The following is a 14,215-nucleotide window of genomic DNA, read 5'->3' on the forward strand; positions in this document are numbered from 1 at the left end:
ATAGTGCTTGGTCTACAGTGAATGTGTAAATCCACAGTTGTCCTGGGTGTGCCTTCTGAACAGAAAATGGCGGGGGGGGCGGGGTGGGGGGCGGGCAGAGTGAACCCAGACGTTCCTTGCAATTTCACAGCCGCAAAGGGGAATCTGTGTTCCTGCAGCGCAGGCAGGTACACGATGCATAAGCGTCTGTGTATTCTGTGTTTACTGATTCCTAACTGTTAGCAGTTAATTGCCATCTGTTGACACACCCTGAGGGGGAATGTTAAGCAGTTCTCGACATCTGCATATATATTCTCTGCCTACATATTTTACTAACTCTTGTTTATGGGACCCATTTCCTCAAATCCATGCTACTGTGCCCCTGATTTTGTAACATACACGTACCCGGTGTCAACCTTTGGGGTTGAATGGGCAAAAATGCCCTCCTCAACTGTTCCCAACACAAAGAAATACTAAATGCTTGAGATGATGGCTACCCTAAATACCCTAATTTGATCATTACACATTATATCAAAATATCACACCTACCCCATCAATATGCACAATGATTATGTATCAATAAAAAAATGGGAAAAAATTCCCTTTTGGGTCCGCCAGAGATGCTGACTGCAGACCGGGTCCTGCCCAGACTCGCCAGCCACTCCATTTCCCACCCCTCCTCCACCCGCCTGCCGGGTCCTTCAGGAAGAGTGAAATGGTCCATTGATCCCTGAGGAGGAAAAGAGCATGTTCGGCCTTTTGAGAGGTTATGGACACTCTGAGTGACACCCGAGCCCAAGCCTCCAACAGCAAGTCCGGCAGCCCCGGGGTGCAGGGGCGAGGCCCGGCCTTGTCTCTGCCATCCACGTGTAATCTGGCCCTGAAACTGACCAGCTCCGACGCCCTCCTTCCTCCTGCCCGCCAGGCGCTTCGTGTTCTTCCCATGTCTTGGGAGAGATCCGTCTCCTTTGACAGACTCAAGATTCCAGGCCGAACTTTCCCATGCCACCGTCCCTCAAAATAGCCCCAGCCGAGCTGTATTTATAGCCGTGTGAGACTCTAATGGGCCAATTTGTTTGAATTTCCACTGCTTTTGTGTTGAACTTACCCCTCTCCTGTGGGCAGTCTCTTCAGGCCTTTATTGATGGGGTGTGTGAGGATGGCGTAGGCCGTGTTCAAGATGGTAGCTCTATAGAGCGTGGGGGCTGTTTTGCATATTTACTGTTCTTTAAAGCCGGTTTTTTGAGAGAGAGAAAGAGACAGAGAAAGAGGTTTCTGTAAGTAGCCCGGACAATGAGAACAAGACCGGCTGTATGCCAAGCACGGGATCCCGGCCAAAACACATATCATTAGCTTGGACCAGCTATAAGCAAGGAAATGAGAAACATATGCTAGGAGCAAGGTTAGGAGTGAAGGACCATGGGTCATTGACAGTCGCCCTAAAACTTTTCCCTTGTTCTTCAGCTGTGGCCTGGCGGTGTCAAATGTCATTTCGACTGCCTTGATTTCTCATGGTGGGGCTGCCTGTGGTTTTTTTTTTTTTTTTTCTTTCTTTCTTTCTCCCCCTGCTGTTTCCTGATGGGACTGTTTTTTTGTTTTTTTTTTTGTTTTTTTTTTTTTTTTTTGGGAGGGGAAAAGAGAACAGTCAGGGAAGGGCTTATGTGATAGTTTTTCTCAGTTCTGGGAAAATAACCTTGTTTCCTGTGATGCACTCTTCAATTCCTCACTTTCTCTGAAGCAACGATGTCTCTGGGTTTTGGATCCATACTGGTTTGAGAGGGGAAGACTGAGGGGAGGCTTTTAAAGCAGTTCTTGCTGTTTCTTTCTTAAATATAATTAGATGCGCCTCATTACCTCACACTGAAGGACTTTTGTACTTTTTCGAGCTGTGTTTTCTGAGATCTTCCGTGGGCGACGGCTTGTCGTTTCCACTTGCAGTTAATTGCATTAGCAGGTATTTTCCCCCCGCCCCTCCCGCCCCGGCATATTTGTCCTCTCTTCTCGCTCTCCCCAAGATATCTGGAGTCGATTTTGCGAGTCCGAAGGCCACACCCAGGGAGTCTGCTTGTGCCTGAACGTGATGAAGGATCTGGATTCCTTTGGCCCTTCCCAGTTTCCCTTTCCTCCACCTCATTCTTTTTTCTTAAAGTCTTCCCCGGACAGTTTACTAACAATGCTCTGCTCTCTTGCACTCCAAGGTCAGGACCCCTGTTCCCTATAAAACCCAGATGAAGAACTGTATCCATGCAACTCAGAGGCGGTCCCTGGAGAGCATCCCATGTGGCTACTGTTCTGAAACGACCACAACCGCCCAGGAAACTCACCAGGCTCCGACACCCAGGTTTGGCCAAAGTCACAAGATAGCCACGGATATACCCTGCCATTCCCATGAAGGGAACGCTATAGAAGTGGGGGCGCAGGGCAGTTGCAAGCCTGTATGGCAGAAAGGGGAAGGAATAAAATGCTCTCCCATAAACCCCTTCGGACCTTCATTCCTTTAAGATTTAGGGAATGGTGTTGGGGTGGAACCATGTAAAATAATTAAAACATTCGGTCCCTGTTTATCTTTTGCTTCCTTCTCTGTGCCTTGTTCTGAAAATAAACTTTGCAGTTAGTTTCCGGGCTCCCAAAATTCCCAAGTGTGTGAGCGTCCTCAAGGCTTTGGGCAGAGTTAATGACCGGCTTGAGGTTCACTGGACGTGTTTCCCCCAGGCGAGCCACCTTTTTTTCCTTAACTTCAGTTTCTGGGTAGCAGATCTCTCTTCTCTGCATGGAGACCTTCCTGGTCACAGGAGGAAACCTCACTTGCTGATGCCTTCTAAGGCCTCAGTGGATCAGGAATGGGTGGTGTGTGTGTTCACACAAAACAACAACAACAACAACAACAACAACAACAACAACAACAACAAAAGGAGGAATAAGGGCTGCCAAACCGCAACATGCAGGCAACGGGCATTTAAGTTTTATATTGACAGCGAGGCAGGATCCTGGTCAGATACCTGAAACTCTTCCAATTTCAAGGAATCTATTCCGCGACTCTCTCTCTTCCCTGTCTTTAGTGGTAGAAGGGGGCTGGTATTAGGTTTGAGTTCACGTGTTTTCTTTTTGCATCCTCACTGCTTGGGCTGCCTCTCAAATCTCCACACAGCCAAAACCTGCCTCCAACCCACCATTTCCTGTCATCTCCTCCACTGTAACCCTCCTGGCCCAGTCACATCTCCTCTTGCTGGAAACCTGTAATGCCTTCTAAATGGTCCCCACACTCTTCTCCTGCCCCATTGCAGTCCGCTCATCAATGAGCGACCCAGAGGGATCCTTTAAAAACCCAAATCAGGGCCGAGCACAGTGGCTTATGCCTATAATCCTAGCATTCTGGGAGGCCGAGGTGGGTGGATCACTTGAGGTCAGGAGTTCAAGACCAGCCTGGGCAACATGGCAAAACCCCGTCTCTACTAAAAATACAAAAAAAAAAAAAAAAAAAAATTAGCCAGGCATGGCGGCACATGCTTGCAATCCCAGCTACTCGGGAGGCAGGAGAAACGCTTGAACCTGGGAGGTGGAGGCTGCAGTGAACCGAGATAGCGCCACTGCACTCCAGCCTGGGTGACAGAGCAAGACCCCCTCTCAAAACCAACCAACCAACCAACCAAATACCCAAATCAGATTAAGCCCATTTCCCTGCTGAAAACCCCACTTGGCCTGGTGTGGTGGCTTACACCTCTAATTCCAGCACTTTGGAAGGCTGAGGCGGGCGGATTACTTGAGGTCAGGAGTTCGAGACCAGCCTGGCCAACATGGTGAAACCCTGTCTCTACTAAAACTAAAAAAATTAGCTGGGCATAGTGGCTCATGCCTGTAATCCCAGCTACTTGAGATGCTGAGGCAGGAGAATCACTTGAACCCAGGAGGTGGAGGCTGCAGTGAGCTGAGATTGCACCACTGCACTCTAGCCTAGGCAACAGAGAGAGACTATGTCTCCAAAACAAACAAACAAACAAACAAAAAAACCACTGGTGGCCCCTGCCTGCTTCTCCAACTTGGTCTTGAGCCATCTCCCCTTCACCTTTTATGTTCCAGCCACACTAGCCTCATTTTCATCACCAGTAGAGTGAGGATGTAACAACGCCTGCTCAGAGGGCTGGGAGGAGTAAGTGCATTAACACACACAAAACATCTAGACCAGGGTCTGGCCATGATAGGTGCTCGATAAAGGGAAGTGCCATTAACAGTTTACTTCTTTGAATTTGCCAAGGACTTTTCCCGCTTCAAGACCTCACAAAAGCCTCTGTCACTTATCATTTCCCCTTTATATGGCTGGCTCTTTTTTATCCTTTGGGTTCAAGTTTACATGTTAACTCTTTAGAGATCTTCTCTAACCAGTCTATTCAAATACATTCCCAACGCTTGAACCCCCATTCCCATTATTTTCTCCTACAACACCCTGTCTGTTTCCTTCAAAGCACTTTTTCCAACTTGGGATGACAAATGATTTTTTACTTGGGGGGCAGGGCTATGTCTAATAATCTTATCCAGCACAAGGAATATTTGTGGAATGAATGCATAAATGAATGAATGTAACTCCTTACCTTTCTTCTGCTAATACCAGAGCCATCCCCAACCCACCTCGTCGGCTATGCCAATTCTCCTCTCCAAATCCTGTATTTACTTATTCTCTCATCCTTTGGCATTATTGACTCTCTGGTCTCTTGGCAATGGAAAAACCTCTAAACCATCTAGCACCGTCCCATCACTCTAGGAGGCTCACACTTTCATTTATATGTAAATGATAAATAATAGAATATGTAACGCCCAGAATAAGTTCAATGACTAATGACTCCTCATCTGCCAAGTCAGAAGGGTTTGGGGATGAATTAACTCATCAACTACCATTAAGAGATCAATGTCAATGCAATTACTCCATAAATATCCAAGATCAGGTATCTTACAGTGCTACCTGAAAGTCTCAAGTGATGATAGGAAGTCAAGTGCAGGTGAAAGCATAGTTCCCATTTTTGTTCCTTATCACCTCCCTTTATGTGAGTACACTGTATTATATTGAAGCTGAGTAACATGAGCTAAGGAGGAGTAACTTGACCTGTCCTCATGCATCTCTCTTTCTTGCTCTCTTAGCCAAGAATACCAAGATGGAAAATGCCCTCGGCTGAATTTTTTATTATTTATTGATTGATAGCCTTCTTCTTCTTCTCCTTTTTTTTTTTTTTTTCCTTAAACCTCCATGCACTTTGCTAATTACTTCTCTGGAAATCATTTCCCTTTACCATTCTCCAGAATGCTGCCACCTTTGGGAAGGAACGTGGCAGTGTGATAAAATGTAGGCTAGACAAGAGCTAAGAGTGGAAAAAAGTCTTCTTCTTGATGTGCTGGTCCAGCCCTATCCTGCCATCTAATATGCTGGGAATGCAATGATGTAATAATGAGAACAAGCACAAGGCTTGCATCAGAGCAATTTTTTTCATCCACAGAATAAGCATAAAGGAAAGTGCCTTCATCATTTCATCTTCGGCCCCACCTAGATTTGCAGCATCAGCATGACTAAGTCATGGAAGCAAGCTGATTTCATCAGCACATTGGAGGCACTTGGTCCAATTAATGTGACTTGAAGGTGACATTTGTATATCCCTCAGACCAAAATACTCAATGACGTGAGTTATTAGAAAAAGCCCAAATAACGATTAATTCCTAAAATTAATATCTGCACTCCAGCCTGGGCAACAGAGCAAGACTCCGTCTCAAAACCAACCAACCAACCAGCCAACCAACCAACCAACCAACCAAATACCCAAGTCAAATTCAAATTGAGTGAGATAATGGTTGGAGGGAAAATAAAAATATCTTCCATTCTATGCAAAAGAGGCTCCAGTGCTTTGTAGCTGTTTGAATGGGTAGCAGATAAATGGGGTTTTTGGAAATGAACTTTCTAGAATTTTATAGTGAAAACTTGCGGAACAAAAGAGAATACTAATGTTAAAGGGGAAGGAGAAAATGTTTCTTTAATGTGACACATATCGTCATAATGGCACCTTACATTTAGAGATTACTTTTCTTTGGAAGCGTATGAAACATTATGTGCACAGCATTGTGAGCCGCAAGAACATAGGTATCCCTACTTTAAAGATGGGAAGAACAGATTCACAGATGTGATCTTTCCCAAAATACACAGAACACTGGCATACAGCCAATATGGTTATATTACCATTCAGGAGTTTCTGTGTTTCCACAGATCTCAGACTAGACCAAATACAATTTTTTGGGTAGTGGACTTGAATAGAAGAGGCAGCCAATTCCTATTTAACTGAACAAAGAAAGTAAATGTTGATTGTGTTTCTACTACATATAAAGAGTAGGAAAGGGATAGGCCTTGTTCTCAAGGAATTTATAGCTTAGTGGAGGAGACAGACATATGAGCTCACTTTAATGCAAAGCACTGTTAAATAAAGCATTGAGCAAGGGACACTGACAATTAGTTGTGGAGGCGCGGTAGGGAAAGAGCTGCTGCGAACAGGGGCTGCTATGACAGTCAGCCTCACGTGAAAAACAGAAAGACCCATCAGTCGGGGCGGGCTACCTCTCTGCAGGCATCAGGGAATCCTTCTAGCTTCCTTACTCTGAGCTGAGATCTACCTAACTGTAGCTTCCACCAGGTGCTTCTAGCTTTGTCCTCTGAAGCAATGTAAATTAGTTTAATCCCTCTCCCACACACCATCCTTCAAAATTCTAAATGTGGATGACTTTTTCTTTTTTTTTTGAGACAGGGTCTCACTCCGGAGTACAGTGGTGTGATCCTGGCTCACTGCAACCTCTGCCTCCTCAGTTCCAACAATTTTCCTGCCTCAGCCTCCTGAGTAGCTAGGATTACAGGCACCCGCCACAACACCCAGCTATTTTTTTGAATTTTTAGTAGAGATGGGGTTTGACCATGTTGACCAGGCTAGTCTCAAACTTCTGACCTCAAGTGATCCGCCTGCCTCGTACTCCCAAAGTGCTGGGATCGCAGGCGTGAGCCACCGCGCCTGACCATAGATGACATTTCTTTCCTTCTCCCCAGTGCCCCTACCCCAAAGACTCCTTCATCATTTTCCTCTTTTGGATTAAATGTGCCAATTTCTTCAACTCATTTGTCTATGGCATGATTCCCCAGTCCTTCACTCTCTAGCATTCTTCTCTTGATAAATTCCACTTTATTCATGTTCATCCTTAAACATGGCATTGAAAATTCAACACAATAGTTTATTTTATTTTTATTTTTGTTGAGACCAGGTCTCACTATGTTGCCCAGGCTGGTTTCAAACTTCTGTCCTGAAGCGATCCTCTCACCTTAACCTTCCAAATAGCTGGGATTACAGGCACAGAAGCATGGCAGAAGCAATATAATATTTTAGATATGTGTTGACTAGTGAGTCAGTTCCATCCCATTATCCGTCCATCCATCCTCCCATCTATCCATTCATCCATCCATCCATGCACCTACCCACCCAACGATACGTAAATAAGCTTTTGTTATATGAAGCACTGTTTAGTCACTACAGGGGATACAATGATGAAAATTGTAAATGAAAGTCAAATTGAGTGAGATAATGGTTGGAGGGAACCATGCTCACACCAACATAACCAAAGATTTTATTAGTGTTTTTGGCAGCCGTAACTCATACAGTTAGCATCTACTGACCTTGTGGATACCTGGACTTCTAATATATTCTCACCAAATTTATGTTTACACAGATTGCCCTTGTTTGGTGGCTTGGCATTTGATTTCTGGAACCAAAGTTCAGCACTATACATTGATTTTTACCATTTTAAGTTTCAGTCAACTGTTTACTTCATTGAGATCTTTTGGGAATCTAGATCCTGTCCTCTGACATCAAACCATTCCTTTTATTTCTGGGCCACCTACAAGTAACACAAGTAGCTTAGCCCAGAACCTTGGGCCTTTCAAGACAGCTTTGACTCCACTCCCCTCCATGACTATCAAGTTTTCATTTCTTTGACCATCAAGGAGCTCATGAACAGTTTTGGTCAAAGGTTATATTGAAATCAAGATGCTGAGTGCCCAAAGAATGTTACAAATTTACTAGCACAAGTGCCAAATAAATAAGTGCATTAATAAAAAAAAATAATAGAACTAAGTACCAGGCCTTATCCAACCCCATTTTTGTAGAGGGCTCAAACTGCTCACGTGGAAATTGGCAACTCTAGAAGGTTAGGGAAAGAGGGTCTCCCTGCTCAACTCAGAGACACTAAATCAGGAGATTAAGTCTCCAAGTTGTCTCTGGGGCTAGAGGGAATGAATAACAGGGTCCTTTATACGCATCTTGGATTTCTGCTTTTTAAATGAAATCCACTGGGCCCTATCAGTCTGTGGTTTGTCTGCTCCGCTTTTAGCAAACTCGAGATGGGGTTGCGCCGTGACTGGTTAGAGCATTTTGCCCTTCAGAAGGGGGACCCACTGACCCCTGACCACAGCCTTGTCATACAGAGAGTGTCAGAGGCGGTCCAATTACCTAAGAGGACTGAGAAAAATCAAACAGAGCTCGGGCACAATGAGGGGAAAAAACACACAGCAGGCCCAGCTTTAGCTCCACTGCTTGAATTACCACTATGTCAATAGAAGGTGATAAATCAAGGGAGATATTTACTGATTAAAATTACAGACTCCTACGGGAAACTGTATAAACAGATTGAAGAACAAAGCCTGCAGGGACTGAGCCCAGCCGAATCCATCCAGGCTTTGGCCAGTCGTTCCTGTTTCCAGCCAACTCTTGGACCCAGGGGTCACTGAGAGAGCAAGTTGCTCCACGAAACGCAGGCTTGCTGTACACAGATCCAAATATTTGTAGGGAAAATTTAAAGGCATGTTGGGAAGAGATTCAGGGCTCATACCCATTCACAAGGAATCCTCTTATTTCATTCTTCTCTTTATTTTATTATTATTTTTTTGCCTTTACTCTGAAGTTTGGTCTAGACTCACTAGAAAGACCCAGAAAGCTGCTCTGTATACTCTACCTGCCAGCAGAGGTGCTGAGGCTACAAATACAGAAGGGAGGCGGATATAGGAGACGTGAGTGGGCACGAAGCCACGCCCATCAGAGGTTCAAGAATTGCATGTGTAGCCAATCAACTTTCTATGCCAATCCACTGTGTTTACCCTCTCTGGGGTGCTCATGTTGGTGTTCCCAGGGGAAATGAATCTCTGCTCTGCCACCCTAGTCCCTCAGTGTGTATCACTTGCTTACTGTCATTCTGCTGCTGTTTTTTTTTTTTGAGACAGAATCTCACTCTATAGCCCAGGCTGGAGTGCAGTGGTGCTATCTCAGCTCACTGCAACCTCCGCTTCCCGGGTTCAAGCGATTCTCGTGCCTCAGCCTCCTGAGTAGCTGGGATTACAGGTGCGCACCACCACACCCAGCTAATTTTTGCATTTCTAGTTGAGACAGGGTTTCACCATTTTGGTCAGGCTGGTCTCAAACTTATGGCCTCAAATGATCCACCCGCCTTGGCCGCCCAAAGTGCTGGGATTACAGGCGTGAGCCACCGCGCCTGGCCCATTGTGCTTCTTTAAATGGCATTCTCCTTGAGTCAGAGAAATACCTTTTGGGAATGTCTTGGAGTAATTTGTGTAGGCAGGGCTTTGGAAGCAAGGCTGCAGCTAGTTTTTTTGTTTGTTTGTTTTGTTTTGTTTTGTTTTGTTTTGTTTTGTTTTGAGATGGAGTCTTGCTCTGTTGCCAGGCTGGAGTGCAGTGGTATAATCTCGGCTCACTGCAACCACCGACTCCCTGCTTCAAGCGATTCTCCTGCCTCAGCCTCCTGAGTAGCTGGGATTACAGGCACACGCCAGCATGCCCAGCTAATTTTTGTATTTTTAGTAGAGATAAGGTTTCTCCATGTTGGTCTCCATCTCCTGACCCACTGATCTGCCTGCCTCAGCCTCCAAAAGTACTGGGATTACAGGCATGAGCCACCATGCCCAGCCAGCTGCAGCTAGTTTTTAGAGCCCCATGGATTTCTTCTTGCCAGCTCTGTCTGTGGGATTAGGACCATCACCCCAAACCACTGTATCCTGATAAAGGGCAGTATAGGTTTATGTCTCATGAATGGGGGAAACTCACAAAAGGCTGTTTAATGTCACCACTGGTTCCATTATTCATGAGTAGTCTCGGGGTTAAATTTTGCCCTTGTAACCCAAGTTCTATCCCCTCTTCTTGTGCCCTTGACTGTGAATATACAATCATCACTTAAAGAGAACTGAGCAAACGTGTTCTGGGACAAATGAGCTTTAATGATTGGGAGGTGGGAGATGATCATCTATGCAATGTCAAGAAATAACAGAAGTCTGTTGGGGATATAGTTCCCGTTAGGGCTGCTGTGTGTGGTTGGGCGTTCTGTGAACTATGTAAAGGCACCAGCTGAAGGCACAATTGTGGGCTGAAAGCAGCTGATGTTCTACCTGCCAATCTGCCATGCAAGCCCTGACTCAGGGTGGCATCCACCAAGAGGGACAGGTAACTTTTTCTTCACACTGAGGAGAAGTTGGTTATTCAAGCCAGCAGTCCTTCGGGTTTTGTTTACTGAGTGGGAGCACTCTTCTCTAATTGTTCCTCCAGAGGAGGGCAGCTTGTTTCATATGATACAAGGGTACAGAATAGGCTAGACAAGGCTCAGAATCTTCTGACCTTTTCCTCAGAGCTGGGAGGAAGTTCAGGTGAAGAAAATCCCAACTAGAGCATTCAGAAGCTCATCCTCTAAAACAGTAGGGAGGGCCGGGTGAGGTGGCTCACGCCTGTAATCCAAGCACTTTGGGAGGCCAAGGCGGGCAGATCACCTGAGGTTGGGAGTTCGAGACCACCCTGGCCGACACAGTGAAACCCCATCTCTACTAAAAATACAAAACTTAGCTGAGTGTGGTGGCGCATGCCTGTAATCCCAGCTACTCGGGAGGCTGAGGCATGAGAATCGCTTGAACCTGGGAGGCAGAGGTTGCAGTGAGCCAAGATCGTGCCACTGCATTCCAGCCCAGGTGGCAGAGAGAGACTCTGTCGCAAAACAAAACAAAAAAAACAGTATGGAGATCTCAAATAACTAAAAATAGAACTACCATCCGATCTAGCAATCCCACTACTGGGTATCTACCCAAAGGGAAAGAAATCGTTACATCAGAAAGGCATGTGCATTCATGTATTAATCACAGCACTATCCACAATAGCAAAGACATGGAATCAACTTAAGTGTTATCCAATGAAGAACTGGATAAAGAAAATGTGTGTATATACCATGGAATAATATTCAGCCATCAGAAGAATGAAATCATGTCTTTTGCAGCAACATGAATAGAACTAGAGGCCATTATCCTAACTGAAATAGCTGAAAAACAGAAAGTCCAATACTGCATGCTCTCACTTCTAAGTGAGAACTAAACAATGGGTACCCATGGACATACAGATTACAATCACAGACACTGGAGACTGCAAAAGGCGGGAGGGGGGAGGGGTGAAAAATTACCTCTTGGGGCCGGGCGTGGTGGCTCACGCCTGTAATCCCAGCACTTTGGAAGGCCGAGGTGGGTGGATCACCTCAGGTCAGGAGTTCAAGACCAGCCTGACCAATATGGTGAAACCCCATCTCTACTAAAAATACAAAATTTAGCGGGGTGTGGTGGTGGGCGCCTGTAGTCCCAGCTACTCGGGAGGCTGAGACAGGAGAATTGCTTGAACCCAGGAAGCAGAGGTTGCAGTGAGCCAAGATCGTGCCACTGCACTCCAGCCTGGGCAACAGAGTAAGACTCCGTCTAAAACAAAACAAAAAAAATTACCTCTTAGGTACAATGTTCACTATTTGGGTGATGCGGACACTAAAAGCCAGACTTCATCACTGTGTGATATATGCATGTAGGAAGCCTGCATGTGTACCCTCTAAATATATAAAAATGCAAAAAATAAAAATAAAAAAAGATAGACGTTCACCCTTTGCCTTTTAAAAGGCAGCAGTGGATAATAAAATGTCTGGAGAATGATCCTGGCTTGCTCTCTGGTCCTTTTGCAACTGGATTACTGTAAAGTGAGGTGGGTGTTTCTTTGTGTTTTCCCCCTGAAGGGGTCCATCCAATGTTCCCTGTCTGAGTGACTGAACTCCTTGTTCACGGCTGTCACTGAACCCATCTCTCTCCATCAGCCTCTGGAGATGGTTGGGGCTACAGCCCAGACTTCACACGCTGTCTTACGTTTGGGAAAACTCTGCGCTATCCTTTATTACTTTTTTTCCTAAAGGAAGTTATGTTTATAGCTGCTGCGCCTGACTGCTCTGCCCTCTGTGAGCCTCCTCTGAATGGTTTCCAGGGTGCGTCCTTATCTGTGAGCGGAAGTGCGTTTTGGAGATGGGGAGAAATTAATGACGATTTCGGGAGCTGGGAAGGTGAGGTCGGCTCCTGCGAACCGTGGGGGCGCTCTGATCTCGTTCTTATGCTCTGCTTGCTGAAAAAATCTCTCTTTGCCCTGGAATATCATGGCCTGGAGCCCTTTAAATTAAAAACAGTTGTGAAACTGGCAGCAATTTAGAACTTTTGCCAGCGCATGAATCTGTAAAGAGCAGGGCCTCAGGGATGCGGACCATGTGTCTCTAAAGAAGAGGCCTGGTCTGTGTCCTTGGCTTTGAGCACCCCAGGCTTTTGGTCTACTGCGTCTTTTCTCTCCTAGAGGTATATGGGCTCTTTCGGGTTGTGACCAGACCCTCCCTTCTGACCTCACCATCTACCCTGTCCCACCTCCAGGGGTGCTAGGGCTTGCCACGTGGCTCAGTGGTGTCACCAGTGTTTCCTCCAGTCAGTGATGGATGCGTCCAGGCAGGGGCCCACACCTCTACTTTCAGAGTGATCAAGAGACAGCAATGCAGCCACCTGCAGACCTTTGCAGCCAATGTGAATCCAAGCGAGGGTTTCATGGAAGACATTTTTGTCAGTTTTCAGGAGAAGGCAGTGGAAGTGGAAATGCCAGACAGACAATAAAATAGTGAGGTGAGGATGAGCCAGTAAAATTCCTTCTTTGTGTTTATGGCTTGGCTGCTTCTAAGCCAGGAGGTGCTCTGCCACTGCCCAAGTGGGGATTTATTTCAAATGGGCTCAGCCAGAGGGAAAGGCAGGTCGTGAGCCTGTGGGGCAGGTGGAGAGTCAAAATCTCGACTCTTCCTGGGAAAAACCTTCCTAGGGACACTCTCCCTAGCATTCCGGCCACCCCAGTGTGGGGTTCTTGCTTGCAGGGTCCTAGAACATCCTTGATTGCCTGGCATCTTTAATTAAAAGTGAAATCCATTTGCAAGGATGAGGAGGCCCAAGGATTCAATGTCAGTGAAACCCTATTTGGGAGAAAAAAAATGTCAAACGTAAACCTGAAAACATAATTGTTCCCTTAATGAAATTCAGAGTGAATTTCAATTTTGACCTGAAATTCAACAGGTTATCCTGAGAAACATTCATTGATTATCTCCCGTGTGTGAAAGTAGGAACCAGGCTGGTGAGATCGGCAGGGCCGGTGCACAGCAGATATTGTGTGCAAAGTTAAGGAACATGCACCATCTCTTTTTTTTTTTTTTCTGAGACAGCGTCTCAGTCACCCAGGCTGGAGTGTAGTGCTATCATCATAGCTCACTGCAGCCTTGACTTCCTATGCTCAAGTGATCCTCCTGCCTCAGCCTCCCTGGTAGCTGGGACTACATGTACCATCTCTTATAGGCAGTCAATATTTTAAAGAAGGGACGACCTGAGCAGAGCTGTGCTTTATAAGAGCCATATTAGAATGATGTTGAGGGCATAGGTGATGGCTAATATTTCTTGAACACCTACTATGTGCCGGGAAGTGGGTTGTCTTATTATATGCAGTCTCTTTTAAAATCCCCATGTAACCGTATGAGGTAAGCATTATTCCTGTCCTCATTTTACCAAATGGCAACCTGAGGTTCAGGGAGGTTGAGACATTTGTCCAACGTTGCACAGCTTGCAAGTGGCAGAGCAAAGGGCGGAACCCAAGTCTAACTGAGTCAAGAGCCCACACTCTTAACTACTATAGATCAAGCTTAATATATACAGTGTTTGCTTTATCAAGGAGTAAGCAAGTATCCCCCAAAAGCTATTCCTTTTGTGTGGAATGGGCAAACCTCTGGATTTGAGAGCGTGAGACTCAGAGGTTGGGGCTGTCAGTTTTAGCACATAAAAATGCAAAACTGACTCCCAGTT

The 14,215-nt window shown here is 45.7% G+C and overlaps 1 protein-coding gene across 1 annotated transcript in view, besides 1 other annotated feature; it reads right to left on the reverse strand.

Annotated features, from left to right (window-relative positions):
* Positions 1-14,215, reverse strand: part of ZFHX3 (zinc finger homeobox 3) — a 1,109,046-nt gene that overhangs the window by 388,538 nt on the left and 706,293 nt on the right. The gene's annotated exons all lie outside the window — the stretch shown is intronic.
* Positions 46-895: an enhancer, noted in NCBI's record as "NANOG-H3K27ac-H3K4me1 hESC enhancer chr16:73205367-73206216 (GRCh37/hg19 assembly coordinates)". NCBI's record gives its function as "activates a minimal SCP1, AML or CMV promoter by ChIP-STARR-seq in naive H9 embryonic stem cells {active_cell/tissue: H9 hESC(naive)}" and the evidence as "EXISTENCE:reporter gene assay evidence [ECO:0000049][PMID:30033119]".

This window comes from Homo sapiens, chromosome 16, assembly GCF_000001405.40.
Source record: "Homo sapiens chromosome 16, GRCh38.p14 Primary Assembly".
In the NCBI taxonomy this organism is placed as follows: Eukaryota; Metazoa; Chordata; class Mammalia; order Primates; family Hominidae; genus Homo; species Homo sapiens.